At 39.6% G+C, this 17,703-nt stretch overlaps 1 protein-coding gene across 26 annotated transcripts in view; it reads right to left on the bottom strand.

Moving 5' to 3' along the window:
* The window catches only part of HEPH (hephaestin), a 106,193-nt gene that overhangs the window by 72,055 nt on the left and 16,435 nt on the right, over nt 1–17,703 (bottom strand). For 25 of the 26 annotated variants that reach the window (NR_159801.2, NR_159802.2, NR_159800.1 and 22 more), the window contains 5 exons: nt 8,268–8,450; nt 6,871–7,125; nt 4,511–4,679; nt 3,171–3,307; nt 1,580–1,711 (listed from right to left, as the gene is read on the bottom strand). Coding sequence is in view for 23 of the 26 variants with exons in the window: in XM_047442695.1 (XP_047298651.1) it covers nt 1,580–1,711; nt 3,171–3,307; nt 4,511–4,679; nt 6,871–7,125; nt 8,268–8,450 (876 nt within the window). In the remaining 3 variants the exon portion in view is untranslated. The remainder of the gene's footprint in view (nt 1–1,579; nt 1,712–3,170; nt 3,308–4,510; nt 4,680–6,870; nt 7,126–8,267; nt 8,451–17,703) is intronic. The other variant, NM_001367236.3, reaches the window with a different exon arrangement.

The raw sequence follows: 17,703 nt of genomic DNA, 5'->3' as shown, positions 1-17,703 counted from the left end.
ATGAAATAATCAAACAAATGTAAATCAAAACAACAGTGAGTTTTGTTGATGCTGTCGTTTGCCTACAAGACTGTCATTTTGACAAGATTAAAAAGATTTCCCCAGTGCTGATGAGGTTGTAAGAAAAGGAGTCCTCCTCAGGTACTGCTAATGGAACTCTAAACTGATAGGACTGCAAATCTTTCCAGAGAGTAATTTGGGTGTAGGTACCAAAAATTTTAATGTACATAGCCTCTGATATAGCAATTCCCCAACTTAAAAATATATTCTGAAGAAAGGTTTATAAAAACATTCAAAGAAACATATGGAAGGATATTTCTAGTATAGCTTATAACAAGGGGCTATAATTTAGGATGGTTTTAACCTACCTTTCCTTATTCATTCATTATTTCTTACTTTTCAAATTTTCAAATATACAGAAAACTTTAAAAAATAGTGCAATGATCAACCTATCACCTAGAGTCTATTGCTAACATTTTGCCATCTTTATTTATCTACTCTATGTGTATATACATCTACACACACATACATACAGTTTTTGTTTGTTTGCTTTTGTTGAATCACTTGGAAGTAGAATACAAACATCATGATATTAGCACGCATCTCCTATGTCGCTATAATGCCATTATTCCACCTAAGAAAATTCCCTAATAACATCTAATATCCAGTCTATATCAAGAATTTTGCAATTATCTCCAAAATGTCTCCTAAAGCTATTTTTACAAGCAGAATCAATCAAAATTTGCACATTTCATTTGTTATGTCTCTAATCCCCTTATTGATGGTATTGACTTCTTGAAGAGACTAGACCAGTTGCCTTATAGAATGTTCATTCTAGATTTGTCTGCAACTTTGCTCTTTATGCTTTCAGTTTTTCTTTTATAGTTTGGCTAGAATTAGCATGCATTAATATTCTTAGATAAAGTAAAAAATCAATTACACAATACTCTCACTTCTAAGATTCTCTCCTGATACAGTAATCCAAAATGCAAGCTAGGATATATGCATTCATTCATTGCAACCTGACTTACAATATTCAAAAATACTGAAAAAAACCTACATGTCCAAGCAATAGAGGAAAAAGTAAATAAATTTCGACAAATCCTTGAGATAAAGTGTTTTATAGTCATTAAAATGTTTGTAGCATTTTAATGGCATAGAAAAACAAACACAATACAATGGTAACTGAGAATAGTAGGATGCAAAACTGTACAAACCATATGATCACATATCTCTATATATAGACTTGTATAAGCACATAAAAATATTTAAAGGTATATCAAAATTTATATGACAATCTATAAATGATGCTTATTTACTTTGTAATTGTCTGCTTTTCAGAGTTCTATAATAAACTTATTTTTAAAATTAGGATATATTTAAATATATTTAAAAGAAATTTTCTCTTATTATTGAAGCCCAGCTCTGTTTTACTATTATATTATTCATTCATTCAACAACATCCACATATGGCAAATAATTCTGCCTACTTCATCCTCTCCATCTCCCATTTATTTGTTTTCTAGAGACACATGGTACCACCTAGAGCCCACATTTACTAGAAACCCTGTTGGCTCACCATCATTGTACACAGTGCCTTCATAGTCTTTCTCATAAAAGACCCCATGGGGCTGCATGCTGAATGGCTGGGAGGCACGGTTGTAGAAGACCACCTGAATGGTGTCACCCACCTCAGCCCGGATCACTGGCCCTGGAAAATGGGAAGGAGAGACAATGAGAATGATGAAAGGGATAAACAGGGAGGAAGGAAATGGAAGAAGAGGGAGGGAAAGAAAAGGAAAGTGAAAGTGAAGAAGAAAATAAAAAACTTTTCTTTGTAATAATAAGAACAATTCCTTTCAAGTATATTGCAATTTACAATTACAGAAAACACTGGGAAATCCATTATCTTATTTTGATTCTCAAACATCATTTTAAGGCATATAGGGCAAAAATTATTAACTCCAATTTACAGATGAGAAAATTTCAGCTGAGAGAAGTGGAATTTACCTATGCAAATTTAAATGGTTGATAAGCCATTCAGCCAGGACCAGAGGCCAGCAATTTCTCTCATCCCATTGTCAGCCCCAATCTCATTTTCACTTACTTTATTGTCCCAGATCCCATAGCTACATGTCTTTGTGGACCTATCTAAGATCTGTGCTTGCCTCAATCTGAAACCAATTCTGAGCAAAGAGAATTATGATATCTTCTATCCAGGCACTGTACTAGGTAATCTAGCCACAACTCCTGGACTCTTCTGAACTTCATTACCCACCACATGTAATCTAGCTTAGGTCATCTTTGAAGCAGACAAAAAGTACCAAAACTGGGCACTTATTCCGGCTCTAACTCTTGGTCAGAGTTTCTAGCTTGGTTTCCTATTCAATTTCCACATCTAATGTTTCACCTCATCTCAAAGACTGGGCACTCATACTGAAGTCCAGCCAATGATAATTCCTTCAGGCTCACCACCATCTCTCCTTCCTATGGTGGATTTCTCCTCATTGTATCTCCCTATCCAGCTGATGTAAGATCTATTGTCCATTATCAGATCTAGAATCAACTGGCACACACCTATCCCGAGTATGGTCCATTATATTAATTTCCAAAGTTTTTTTTCCATCTGGCCTATTTTATTTTCTGGTTCCATCATGCTACTAAACCACTTCTAACCTTGGTTTAGCCCTTCTAGATACCTTCTTCAAGTTCAGACTCTAAGCCTATTCTGCATTCCTCCTATTTCAAGTATGTCTGCATGTCATGCCAATCTGCTACTGGCCCCAGATTGCTGAGAACCTATACAGTCTTACTTCCTTATATAGCCCTTTAGGAATACTTCTAGAGAAGGAATTCTAAAAATGTGTACTGTACATCAGTGGTATTGGAAGATATTCACTGAAAAAAAGTGGAGATTCATGATAAACAAAAATAAACCTAAGGCTCCTAGAAATCCTGTAGCATAAAAAGCACTATTTAACTGCTTAACTTAGTGGTTTTAAAACACATTCAGACTCATAACTCTTTCACAAAACAATCATCTCATAAGACTCACTTTGGGAGATGCTGGTCTACAATGTGCTCCTAAGTGATGTCCAGGCCTCAGTTTCAAAGTCTTCCTCAATTCTCTGGCTCTAGTAAATGAATTTCATAATTTAAAAATTCCTCACCCAGGATTCCAAGATGCCTATCTTCCTCCAAATGCATCTTCTCTTGGAATGTCTCATCTTGAAAGGCTTCATATCGCACTTTCCAGTAAGTGCCCCCAATTCGGCTGGAGCTCTTCTGGAAAAACTTATCTGAGATACTGATGTATAAAAAGGAAAATATGATATTATTTCATTAGGTATCAAATAGACTCCCATCTCACCCTTAGTCTCACCAAGTTATGAATCTTTATATTTAGGAAGGACCTCAGAGCTCATCTAAGTTAACTCCCACCAGTGAAGATATCTCCTTTGGTGGCACCACTAGAAAGTTATATACAGCTTCTGCTTGAGCCTTTCCAAAAATAGGAAACTCATATCCAGAGGAGACAATCTCCCTTACTGTTGGATATTTTAAATTATTGGAATTCTATTTTAGTGTAAGTTGGAATATTCTTGCTTATAATTTCCAGGCACTGGGACCAGTTCTGCCCTCCAGAGATTCATAGTCTACATCTGTCCTTAATCATCCTTAGGTATTAATAATCCTTTCACTCCAAAATGAAAGCCCACTATGTTAATAAGCCCAGCTGGAAATCGTAGAATCCATGCTGAGACTCAAACACCAACTTTCCTAAGTTTTCTCCAGATTTACTCTATTATTTCCTGCTAGAAGTATAACCATGAAGGATCTTCCCCCAACCCCTCTCTTAGTTACCTATCAAGTGCCTCCTCTGTGGAAGACCTGTCATCATCGATTTCCCAGTGAGTGGTATGACTTAAGACCCAGCAACTGAGTAGGGCACTAACCTCCTACTCTATCTTGCCCATATCTGGGTCATGGATGAGGCAGGAGAACTTGGAGAAATTCCTTCAAAAGAATGGGCATGTGATAGCCAAAAAGCAGGCTGCCTCTCTTCCTACATTTCTCAGAGTGCTTTTTATACCCCTGCTCAAATGCCTCATTCAGACTATAGAAAAGAAATGAAGGAGCAAGGAGGTAAATAATGGGTAAAGTGAAGAAACCTGGAATAAAAGCTATTTCAACTGATACAAGAACTGGTCCCACCTGGGCTTTCCTTTATGAAAATGGCCAGGAATTATAGTAGGACCAACTTCAAACTCTGTTTGGACCCTTTGTGGGGATATGGAATAACCCCACAAAAAGCTTTGCTACCTGTATCTCCCCAAGAGCAAGCTCTCCAGGGGGACACAAGAACTTGGCTAACAGTTGGTTCATGTAACCCCAGCCAGACAATGATTTGGATCCCTGAGTAAAGTGAGAGATTTCTGGAAGAAAGATAATAAATGTTTGGAGCTGGACCAATTAAAGAATTAAAGAGAGGGATCCCACTGCCTCTTACCTGCCTGGCTCTCTCAAATTCTTCCCAGTACTCCCATCATGCCCCATCGGGCCATAGTCCCATTGAATCTCATGGGCCTCAATGAAGTACTGTCGAACTTTGCCTGTGAGCAGGTCCACAGGAGGGGCCATGGAGCAAGACTTGACCTTGTAGAGTGCCTGCATGCCATCTGAAGGAAGAACATTATGGCTGACCCCATTCTATCCAATAGGATTTTAACCCAGAGGACTCACCTTCCTCCTTCTGTTAGTGTTTCCTCCACCCACCCTCCACTACTCTCTTTACTCCTGCTCCAAAATGGGCCGCTTTCTCTCACTCTTAAAGTGCATGGCTGAGAGAGAGAGTCCAGGGTAGAATTCAGGTACCTCCACTTGCTTATACCACCACTGATGCATTTACTAGATACTCATTCCTGCCTCTTCATAAAGGCTCACATTGTAGCAACATCACAGAGACAGAAGTAAGGAAACTCGAGTTCAAGCCCAAGCTTTAAGCACTATCTGTAGGACCTTAGGCAAGTCACTTCCTCAATCTGAGCTTCCCTCTTTTGCCAAAGGAGAGAATAGGAAAATCCACCTCATGGGGCTGGTAGGAGCATCAAATTTAAAATAGGGGTTAATTATTTGTAAACTGGGAAGCTCCCAAAATAATAGAACATCTTCTATCAGTGAAGATAAAGCTTCAGACTTGGGACCGTAAGGAAAATGTAGATTCTAAGTAGTGTTTTCAAATGTGGAATATACTACATTGCGTCACAATGGCAATGGATGGTACTGTCTTATATTGGCTTAGCAACTTATAGAGGTCACTCAGCTATATTATTTTATTAGCATCCCACAGCATCCCAGGGAGATTTGAAATTTGTAAATTAGAAACTTGAGGTATGATGAAGGGAGAGGAAAAAATATTTATTTTCTTCAACATGTATTATGTTAGGTAGGTTCTGTGTCAGGTGCTTTACATCTTTTTTAAAATTTCAGTCCCAGGGAGTACATATGTTATCTCTATCAATCCTTACAACCATTGTATGAAATAGACTTTTAATGTCCCCTTTTGCGGATGAAGAAAACTAAAGGTCAGACAGGTTAAATAACTTGCCCAAGGTTGCACAGCTAGTCAGAGGTGGAGTTGAGAGTTAAACTCTCATCTTTCAACTACAGATCTTAATTGTTCATTTTATTTTCTTATATCTACTATCTTGTTTATATCATCCCCCTATTCTCTAAGATCCAAAATCACATTTTTACTCTAAAACCTCATTACAATTTTATGAGGTATACATCACTACTTCTATTAAGAGGCTCAGAGAAGTGAAATGATTTATCAAAGGTGGCTAAACAAGTGATGGAACGAGGATTTGAATCCAAGCATGTCTGTCTCTAAGGTCTATGCTTATTCCACTATCATGCTGCATCTCTAATCCCAATCCATATTTATACTCTCTTACCTAGGAAGCTTTGGGGCTAAGACATACCCTGGATAATGGAGTACATGTAACTGTCCCCTATTGTGTCAAACCTAACACCCAAGATTTATTATCCTATTAGTCTACAACTCCTAACCTACTAAAATCCACTTCAAGTACTCACATATCATTTTTCTGACACCCTTCTAATTTACCATAAATCAAATAATTCTAGAAAATGACAGCTGAAGAGGATTTAAGAGACGATTTAGACCAACTTTCCCATTTTACGGATGTGGCAAATGTGACCTAGAAATGGAAAGACACCTGTCTAAAGTCATATAAAGTTTTTCACAAACTTAAGACTACCATTCAAACCTAACCACTTATCTACTATTCTTTCCATTGCTTCATACGCTCTTCCTCCCCTCTGATGCATCTGATGCTCCTCAATACATTGCTCTGCAATGACATTAATGTTTCTCCCTTTGAAAATAAAACCTTCCACTCCTACTTCTATTGAGTTCCAACCAGAGTGTAACTATGTACCCACAATACACCATGATCTCCTACAGAAATGTTACTCTCTTTTAATTAATCTCTCCTTCACTCCCTGTTCAATATGTTGAAAATGTCTCCAGGTATTAATTGTTTAGAATTCTAAGCAAATAATAAAAAGCTGATTAAAAGTCTACTTATCCATCCCCAGGCTGTCTTATGTTCAAGATGGGGAAGATTAAACACAGAGAGATGTGCCCAAAGTTATCCAGCAAGTTTCCCAGCAGATTCAGGAAAAAACCTGGGTCCCCTGACTTCTAATCTAGTGTGCTATCCTTTATCCCAAGATGCCTCAACTGGAGGACTTATTTATGGCTTCAGGCCAGAAACCCAGCCTCCCTTGACCATTATCATACCTCTCTCTTACAACCCAATGGTCAGAAATGTTGGATCTCACCTCGAAAGTGACTGTTCACTTGGCAGCTAATTAACCAGGTACCAGGTTCCCAGGGCACCATCTCAGCAGTCACAAAGGTGGCTGGAAAGATGTTAGCCACATCAGTGTGGTGTCCACGGGTAGTCAGCATCTGTCCATGGAAAAATGCTGTGTGGACATCAATTTCATTGCCCATGCCAAACAAGTGCCAGGCCACACGTTTCTGTGCACACATGTTCAGCTCAGGTAAATTCCCAAAAACAAAGCCATTGATTGCTGCAAAAGAAAACCCAAAGAAAATATCAGGATTAGGAAAGGACAGCCAAATGGAAGAAGCCTTACCATTTGACAATAATAGATAATATTTAAATGAGGTTATAAACAGCACACTGTGTTGACCTATGTATTATCTTCTTTAAATCTCAAAAACATCCCTGAGAAATAGGCAGATATCATTAGTCTCATTAAAAAAGAGAGAGAGAGAGAAAACCAAGACTCAGAGAGGTGAAGTTACTTCTTTCCCAATGCCATAGAGCTAATAAATGCTTACAGCCAATATTCCAAACCAGAAATGTGAAGAAGCTCTCTAAGGAATTTAGTTATTTTGCAGGCTATTCTTTCAGGGTGGTTTCATTCTAAAAATTTCCACAGGACAATTGTCAAATTGGCTGACTAATTAACATGGCTTTTATAATCAATTGGTATAAAATTCAAGAAAAAGTTGAGCTATCCAAGCCATCCTTTACATCTTCCTTCTGAATTTCCACCTCCTTTGGGGACTGTATGGTTTTTAGCCCACCCCTGTCATGAATGGCCAGTAAATGACTTCCTTAATGAAACAAAAACAAAACTGACTTGTTTATATTCCTAAAATCAGTTCAATATTCATGCCTCGGTTCTTCTGTGCCTTTAGTTTCTTTTTCAATTTAATTAATATGGTCAATGTCCTTATAGACATAAGCACAGAGTACGATGGGAGATATAAGCAAGGTAGCTTGAAAGAAACCATTTTTCTCCACAAAGTGGATAATTCTGCTAACTTCTTCCTTTTTAAAACAAATCAATATTGATTAATTGTATCAGTGGGCAACCCACAGCAAAGTAATTGACCATATACTATATAACTTTAGACTGTGTGCTATTCCACATTATGAGGCAGAATAGCCTAATGGCAAGAGCACAATCTATGCAGTCAGAGAGACCAAGGTTGGAATTTTAGCTGTGCCATTTATCTGCTGCATAATCTTAGGAGCCTCAGTGTCCTCACATGTAAAACAGGGAAGAGCCATCTACTACTCCTTGCCCTCGTGATGACTAAAAAGGACTATGTATGTGAAAGCATCCACCAAATACTAGGCCCAGTGGATACCCTCCAACAATGTTCCCTGTCACAATGTGGCCACCTTTTCCCAACTCACCATGCATCCTATTGCTCTCCTGAAATGTCTCATCTTCTTTGTCCACTGAAGCAGGATCTGAGCAGTAAGTGGCAATGTTCTCATTGAGATGCCAGCTGAGGTTCTCATCTACCACACTGAAGAGGAGGAAGAAATCATGGTCTACATCCTGGCGTTGAGGAGGGGAGTTCCCATCCAGGGCTCCTAGGGCAAGTAAGACAGTTTCCCTTGAGAAGATCCTTTCCTTAGCAATAGTAAGCTGAAAGGGGTACTCATAAGAAAGGAATAGAAAGAGAGGGGTCTTAAGAATCTGTAAGCAACAGAAAAGCAGAAATAACCCTCTTAGATTAATTTCCATTTCCAAACTCCCCATTTAAAACCACCAATTCAGTTGAACCTAGGACTTGATGTTAGGACACATAGGATCTACAATAATTCCCTCCTACCATCCCTGCCTATGTCTTCAACCCAGGGCCTGAACCTGACCACATTCCTGCCACCCTCTGGTCTTCAAGTCTGACATATCCTATTATCAGCAAAATCCTCCAAAACCCTGATGACCACACTTTCAATCTTATCCATATCTAAACTCTTACTACATATCTGATTTCAATGCGACTTGACTCCTATAATGACTAATTTGAGATTTAAAAGTGAAGCAAGAAAAAAAATAAAAAGGAGAAAAGTTTGGTGTTTTGTTGTTTTTAATAACAATAATTTTAAAAAAGGTTCGTAGGATCATCATGGTGGACAAGAGTCAGGAGTAATTGCAGCTCAGACTCGGATGGACAGAGCAGCATGTGGAGGCTTGCATCATGAATTTTGGCTCCAGCACCCTTCATGAACACACCAGGAATCCCAAGAGGACCCACAGACCCTCTGAAGGAAATGGACTGCTCCTGCAGGACCCGGGAGACACCCCAAATACTGTGCTGGTATTCACAGCAGAGAGACCCATACACAGTTCGCATCACAGGACTCTGTGCAGACAACCTCCAGTATCAGCCCAGAGCCAGGTAGACTTGCTGGGTGGCTAGACCCAAAAGAGAGATAACAATCACTGCAGCTCAGCTCACAGGAAGCCACATCCATAAAAAAGGAGGGAGAGATGGGGGAACACCCTTTGAGACAAAAGAATCTGAAGAACAGCCTTCAGCCCTAGAGTTTCCCTCTGACAGAGCCCACTCAAATGAGAAGGAACCAGAAACCCAACTCAGGTAATATGACAAAACAAGGTTCTTTAACACCCCAAAAAAATCACACTAGCTCACCAGCAATGGATCCAAGCCAAGATAAAAAAAAATCCCTGATTTACCTGAAAACGAATTCAGGAGGTTAGTTATTAAGCTAATCAGGGAGGCACCAGAGAAAGGTGAAGCCCAGTGAAAGGAAATAATAAAAACAACAACAACAACAAAAAAAATAAGAAGTGAAGGGATAAATATTCAAGGAAATAGATAGCATAGCATAAAGAAAAAACAATCAAAACTTCAGGAAACACTGGACACACTTATAGAAATGCAAAATCCTCTGGAAAGTCTCATCAATAGAATTGAACAAGTAGAAGAAAAAAATTCAGAGTCTGAAGACAAGGTCTTCAAATTAACCCAATCCAACAAAGACAAAGAAAAAAGAATAAGAAAAAATGAACAAAGCCCCTACGAAGTCTGAGATTATGTTAAATGACCAAACCTAAAGAATAATTGGTATTCCTAAGGAAGAAGGGAATTCTAAAAGTTTTGAAAACATATTTGGAGGAGCAATAGGGGAAAACTTCCCTGGCCTTGATAGAGGCCTAGACATCCAAATACAAGAAGCACAAAGAACACCTGGGGGAGGAGGAGCAAAGATGGCCGAATAGGAACAGCTCCGGTCTACAGCTCCCAGCGTGAGCGACGCAGAAGACGGGTGATTTCTGCATTTCCATCTGAGGTACCGGGTTCATCTCACTAGGGAGTGCCAGACAGTGGGCGCAGGCCAGTGTGTGTGCGCACCATGCGCGAGCCGAAGCAGGGCAAGGCATTGCCTCACCGGGAAGCACAAGGGGTCAGGGAGTTCCCTTTCTGAGTCAAAGAAAGGGGTGATGGACGCACCTGGAAAATCGGGTCACTCCCACCCGAATATTGCGCTTTTCAGACCGGCTTAAGAAACCGCGCACCACGAGACTATATCCCACAACTGGCTCAGAGGGTCCTACGCCCACGGAATCTCGCTGATTGCTAGCACAGCAGTCTGAGATCAAACTGCAAGGCGGCAACGAGGCTGGGGGAGGGGCGCCCGCCATTGCCCAGGCTTGCTTAGGTAAACAAAGCAGCCTGGAAGCTCGAACTGGGGGGAGCCCACCACAGCTCAAGGAGGCCTGCCTGCCTCTGTAGGCTCCACCTCTGGGGGCAGGGCACAGACAAACAAAAAGACAGCAGTAACCTCTGCAGACTTAAGTGTCCCTGTCTGACAGCTTTGAAGAGAGCAGTGGTTCTCCCAGCACGCAGCTGGAGATCTGAGAACGGGCAGACTGCCTCCTCAAGTGGGTCCCTGACCCCTGACCCCCGAGCAGCCTAACTGGGAGGCACCCCCCAGCAGGGGCACACTGACACCTCACACGGCAGGGTATTCCAACAGACCTGCAGCTGAGGGTCCTGTCTGTTAGAAGGAAAACTAACAAACAGAAAGGACATCTACACCGAAAACCCATCTGTACATCACCATCATCAAAGACCAAAAGTAGATAAAACCACAAAGATGGGGAAAAAACAGAACAGAAAAACTGGAAACTCTAAAACGCAGAGCGCCTCTCCTCCTCCAAAGGAACGCAGTTCTGCACCAGCAACAGAACAAAGCTGGATGGAGAATGATTTTGACGAGCTGAGAGAAGAAGGCTTCAGACGATCAAATTACTCTGAGCTACGGGAGGACATTCAAACCAAAGGCAAAGAAGTTGAAAACTTTGAAAAAAATTTAGAAGAATGTATAACTAGAATAACCAATACAGAGAAGTGCTTAAAGGAGCTGATGGAGCTGAAAACCAAGGCTCGAGAACTACGTGAAGAATGCAGAAGCCTCAGGAGCCGATGCGATCAACTGGAAGAAAGGGTATCAGCAATGGAAGATGAAATGAATGAAATGAAGCGAGAAGGGAAGTTTAGAGAAAAAAGAATAAAAAGAAATGAGCAAAGCCTCCAAGAAATATGGGACTATGTGAAAAGACCAAATCTACGTCTGATTGGTGTACCTGAAAGTGATGTGGAGAATGGAACCAAGTTGGAAAACACTCTGCAGGATATTATCCAGGAGAACTTCCCCAATCTAGCAAGGCAGGCCAACGTTCAGATTCAGGAAATACAGAGAACGCCACAAAGATATTCCTCGAGAAGAGCAACTCCAAGACACATAATTGTCAGATTCACCAAAGTTGAAATGAAGGAAAAAATGTTAAGGGCAGCCAGAGAGAAAGGTCAGGTTACCCTCAAAGGAAAGCCCATCAGACTAACAGCGGATCTCTCGGCAGAAACCCTACAAGCCAGAAGAGAGTGGGGGCCAATATTCAACATTCTTAAAGAAAAGAATTTTCAACCCAGAATTTCATATCCAGCCAAACTAAGCTTCATAAGTGAAGGAGAAATAAAATACTTTATAGACAAGCAAATGCTGAGAGATTTTGTCACCACCAGGCCTGCCCTAAAAGAGCTCCTGAAGGAAGCGCTAAACATGGAAAGGAACAACCGGTACCAGCTGCTGCAAAATCATGCCAAAATGTAAAGACCATCGAGACTAGGAAGAAACTGCATCAACTAATGAGCAAAATCACCAGCTAACATCATAATGACAGGATCAAATTCACACATAACAATATTAACTTTAAATATAAATGGACTAAATTCTGCAATTAAAAGACACAGACTGGCAAGTTGGATAAAGAGTCAAGACCCATCAGTGTGCTGTATTCAGGAAACCCATCTCATGTGCAGAGACACACATAGGCTCAAAATAAAAGGATGGAGGAAGATCTACCAAGCCAATAGAAAACAAAAAAAGGCAGGGGTTGCAATCCTAGTCTCTGATAAAACAGACTTTAAACCAACAAAGATCAAAAGAGACAAAGAAGGCCATTACATAATGGTAAAGGGATCAATTCAACAAGAGGAGCTAACTATCCTAAATATTTATGCACCCAATACAGGAGCACCCAGATTCATAAAGCAAGTCCTCAGTGACCTACAAAGAGACTTAGACTCCCACACATTAATAATGGGAGACTTTAACACCCCACTGTCAACATTAGACAGATCAACGAGACAGAAAGTCAACAAGGACACCCAGGAATTGAACTCAGCTCTGCACCAAGCAGACCTAATAGACATCTACAGAATTCTCCACCCCAAATCAACAGAATATACATTTTTTTCAGCACCACACCACACCTATTCCAAAATTGACCACATAGTTGGAAGTAAAGCTCTCCTCAGCAAATGTAAAAGAACAGAAATTATAACAAACTATCTCTCAGACCACAGTGCAATCAAACTAGAACTCAGGATTAAGAATCTCACTCAAAGCCGCTCAACTACATGGAAACTGAACAACCTGCTCCTGAATGACTACTGGGTACATAACGAAATGAAGGCAGAAATAAAGATGTTCTTTGAAACCAACGAGAACAAAGACACCACATACCAGAATCTCTGGGACGCATTCAAAGCAGTGTGTAGAGGGAAATTTATAGCACTAAATGCCTACAAGAGAAAGCAGGAAAGATCCAAAATTGACACCCTAACATCACAATTAAAAGAACTAGAAAAGCAAGAGCAAACACATTCAAAAGCTAGCAGAAGGCAAGAAATAACTAAAATCAGAGCAGAACTGAAGGAAATAGAGACACAAAAAACCCTTCAAAAAATTAATTAATCCAGGAGCTGGTTTTTTGAAAGGATCAACAAAATTGATAGACCGCTAGCAAGACTAATAAAGAAAAAAAGAGAGAAGAATCAAATAGACACAATAAAAAATGATAAAGGGGATATCACCACCGATCCCACAGAAATACAAACTACCATCAGAGAATACTATAAACACCTCTACGCAAATAAACTAGAAAATCTAGAAGAAATGGATACATTCCTCGACACATACACTCTCCCAAGACTAAACCAGGAAGAAGTTGAATCTCTGAATAGACCAATAACAGGCTCCGAAATTGTGGCAATAATCAATAGTTTACCAACCAAAAAGAGTCCAGGACCAGATGGATTCACAGCCGAATTCTACCAGAGGTACAAGGAGGAACTGGTACCATTCCTTCTGAAACTATTCCAATCAATAGAAAAAGAGGGAATCCTCCCTAACTCATTTTATGAGGCCAGCATCATTCTGATACCAAAGCTGGGCAGAGACACAACCAAAAAAGAGAATTTTAGACCAATATCCTTGATGAACATTGATGCAAAAATCCTCAATAAAATACTGGCAAACTGAATCCAGCAGCACATCAAAAAGCTTATCCACCATGATCAAGTGGGCTTCATCCCTGGGATGCAAGGCTGGTTCAATATACGCAAATCAATAAATGTAATCCAGCATATAAACAGAGCCAAAGACAAAAACCACATGATTATCTCAATAGATGCAGAAAAAGCCTTTGACAAAATTCAACAACCCTTCATGCTAAAAACTCTCAATAAATTAGGTATTGATGGGACGTATCTCAAAATAATAAGAGCTATCTATGACAAACCCACAGCCAATATCATACTGAATGGGCAAAAACTGGAAGCATTCCCTTTGAAAACTGGCACAAGACAGGGATGCCCTCTCTCACCGCTCCTATTCAACATAGTGTTGGAAGTTCTGGCCAGGGCAATCAGGCAGGAGAAGGAAATAAAGGGTATTCAATTAGGAAAAGAGGAAGTCAAATTGTCCCTGTTTGCAGACGACATGATTGTTTATCTAGAAAACCCCATCGTCTCAGCCCAAAATCTCCTTAAGCTGATAAGCAACTTCAGCAAAGTCTCAGGATACAAAATCAATGTACAAAAATCACAAGCATTCTTATACACCAACAACAGACAAACAGAGAGCCAAATCATGGGTGAACTCCCATTCACAATTGCTTCAAAGAGAATAAAATACCTAGGAATCCAACTTACAAGGGATGTGAAGGACCTCTTCAAGGAGAACTACAAACCACTGCTCAAGGAAATAAAAGAGGACACAAACAAATGGAAGAACATTCCATGCTCATGGGTAGGAAGAATCAATATCGTGAAAATGGCCATACTGCCCAAGGTAATTTACAGATTCAATGCCATCCCCATCAAGCTACCAATGACTTTCTTCACAGAATTGGAAAAAACTACTTTAAAGTTCATATGGAACCAAAAAAGAGCCCGCATCGCCAAGTCAATCCTAAGCCAAAAGAACAAAGCTGGAGGCATCACACTACCTGACTTCAAACGATACTACAAGGCTACAGTAACCAAAACAGCATGGTACTGGTACCAAAACAGAGATATAGATCAATGGAACAGAACAGAGCCCTCAGAAATAATGCCGCATATCTACAACTATCTTATCTTTGACAAACCTGAGAAAAACAAGCAATGGGAAAAGGATTCCCTATTTAATAAATGGTGCTGTGAAAACTGGCTAGCCATATGTAGAAAGCTGAAACTGGATCCCTTCCTTACACCTTATACAAAAATCAATTCAAGATGGATTAAAGATTTAAACTTTAGACCTAAAACCATAAAAACCCTAGAAGAAAACCTAGGCATTACCATTCAGGACATAGGCGTGGGCAAGGACTTCATGTCCAAAACACCAAAAGCAATGGCAACAAAAGCCAAAATTGACAAATGGGATCTAATTAAACTAAAGAGCTTCTGCACAGCAAAAGAAACTACCATCAGAGTGAACAGGCAACCTACAACATGGGAGAAAATTTTCGCAACCTACTCATCTGACAAAGGGCTAATATCCAGAATCTACAATGAACTCAAACAAATTTACAAGAAAAAAACAAACAACCCCATCAAAAAGTGGGCGAAGGACATGAACAGACACTTCTCAAAAGAAGACATTTATGCAGCCAAAAAACACATGAAGAAATGCTCATCATCACTGGCCATCAGAGAAATGCAAATCAAAACCACTATGAGATATCATCTCACACCAGTTAGAATGGCAATCATTAAAAAGTCAGGAAACAACAGGTGCTGGAGAGGATGTGGAGAAATAGGAACACTTTTACACTGTTGGTGGGACTGTAAACTAGTTCAACCATTGTGGAAGTCAGTGTGGCGATTCCTCAGGGATCTAGAACTAGAAATACCATTTGACCCAGCCATCCCATTACTGGGTATATACCCAAAGGACTATAAATCATGCTGCTATAAAGACACATGCACACATATGTTTATTGCGGCACTATTCACAATAGCAAAGACTTGGAACCAACCCAAATGTCCAACAATGATAGACTGGATTAAGAAAATGTGGCACATATACACCATGGAATACTATGCAGCCATAAAAAATGATGAGTTCATGTCCTTTGTAGGGACATGGATGAAACTGGAAACCATCATTCTCAGTAAACTATCGCAAGAACAAAAAAACCAAATACCGCATATTCTCACTCATAGGTGGGAATTGAACAATGAGATCACATGGACACAGGAAGGGGAATATCACACTCTGGGGACTGTGGTGGGGTCGGGGGAGGGGGGAGGGATAGCATTGGGAGATATACCTAATGCTAGATGACACGTTAGTGGGTGCAGCGCACCAGCATGGCACATGTATACATATGTAACTAACCTGCACAATGTGCACATGTACCCTAAAACTTAGAGTATAATTAAAAAAAAAAAAAAAATTCACACAGCTGTACAAACAAATAATGACTGAAAAAAAAAAATACAGCTGTGAAAAAAAAAAAAAAGAACACCTGGGAAATTCATTACAAAAAGATTATCACCTAGGTACATTGCCATCAGGTTATCTAAAGTTAAGACAAAGAAGGAAAGAATCTTAAGAGCTGTGAGACAAAAACACCAGGTCACCTATAAAGGAAAACCTATCAGATAAACAGCATATTTCTCAGCAGAAACTCTACAAGCTAGAAGGGATTGGGGCCCTATCTTCAGCTTCCACAAACAAAACAATTATCAGCCGAGAATTCTGTATCCAGCAAAACTAAGCATCATATATGAAGGAAAGATGCAGTCATTTTCAGACAAACATACGCTGAGAGAATTTGCCACTACCAAGCCACCACTACAAGAACTGCTAAAAGGAGCTCTAAATCTTGAAACAAATCCAGGAAATACATAAAAATGGAACCTCTTGAAGGCATAAATCAATCACACAGGATCTATGAAACAAAAATAAAATTTGAAAAGCAAAAACAAAAAAATAAAAAAAAAACAAGGTACACAGGCAACAAATAGCATGATGAATGCTATGGTACCTCATATCTCAATACTAACATTGAATGTAAATGGCCTAAATGCCCCACTTAAAAAATACAAAAATGCAGAATGGAAAAGAAGTCACCAACCATCTCCTGCTTCAGGAGACTCACCTAACACATAAGGACTCACATAAACTTAAAGTCAAGGGGTGGAAATAGGCATTTCGTGCAAAAGGAAACCAAAAGTGAGTAGGAGAAGCTATTCTTATATCAGACAAAACAGACATGAAAGCAACAACAGTTAAAAGAGACAAAGAGGGCCATTATATTATGATAAAAGGCCTTGTTCAACAGAAAAATATTACAATCCTAAACATATATGCACCTAACACTGGAGCTCCCAAATTTATAAAACAATTACTAATAGACCTAAGAAATGCCATAGATAGAAACACAATAATAGTGGGAGAAACACAATAATAGTGGGAGACTTCAATACTCCACTGACAGCACTAGACAGGTCACCAAGACAGAAAGTCAACAAAGAAACAGTGGATTTAAACTATACCTTGGAACAAATAGGCTTAACAGATACATACAGAATATTTCATCCAATACTGCCCAAGGTAATTTATAGATTCAATGTCATCTCCATCAAGGTACCAATGACTTTCTTCACAGAATTGGAAAAAACTACTATAAAGTTCATAAGGAACCAAAAAAGAGCCCGCATTGCCAAGTCAATCCTAAGCAAAAAGAACAAAGCTGGAGGCATGACGCTACCTGACTTCAAACTACACTACAAGGCTACAGTAACCAAAACAGCATGGTACTGGTACCAAAACAGAGATATAGACCAATGAAAAACAACAGAGCCCTCAGAAATAATACCACATATCTACAACCATCTGATCTTTGACAAACCTGACAAAAACAAGAAATGGCGAAAGGATTCCCTGTTTAATAAATGGTGCTGGGAAAACTGGCTAGCCATATGTAGAAAGCTGAAACTGGATCCCTTCCTTACACCTTATACAAAAATTAATTCAA

This window comes from Homo sapiens, chromosome X (assembly GCF_000001405.40).
Source record: "Homo sapiens chromosome X, GRCh38.p14 Primary Assembly".
NCBI classification, from domain to species: domain Eukaryota; kingdom Metazoa; phylum Chordata; class Mammalia; order Primates; family Hominidae; genus Homo; species Homo sapiens.
This window is presented reverse-complemented; position numbering and strand designations above follow the sequence as displayed.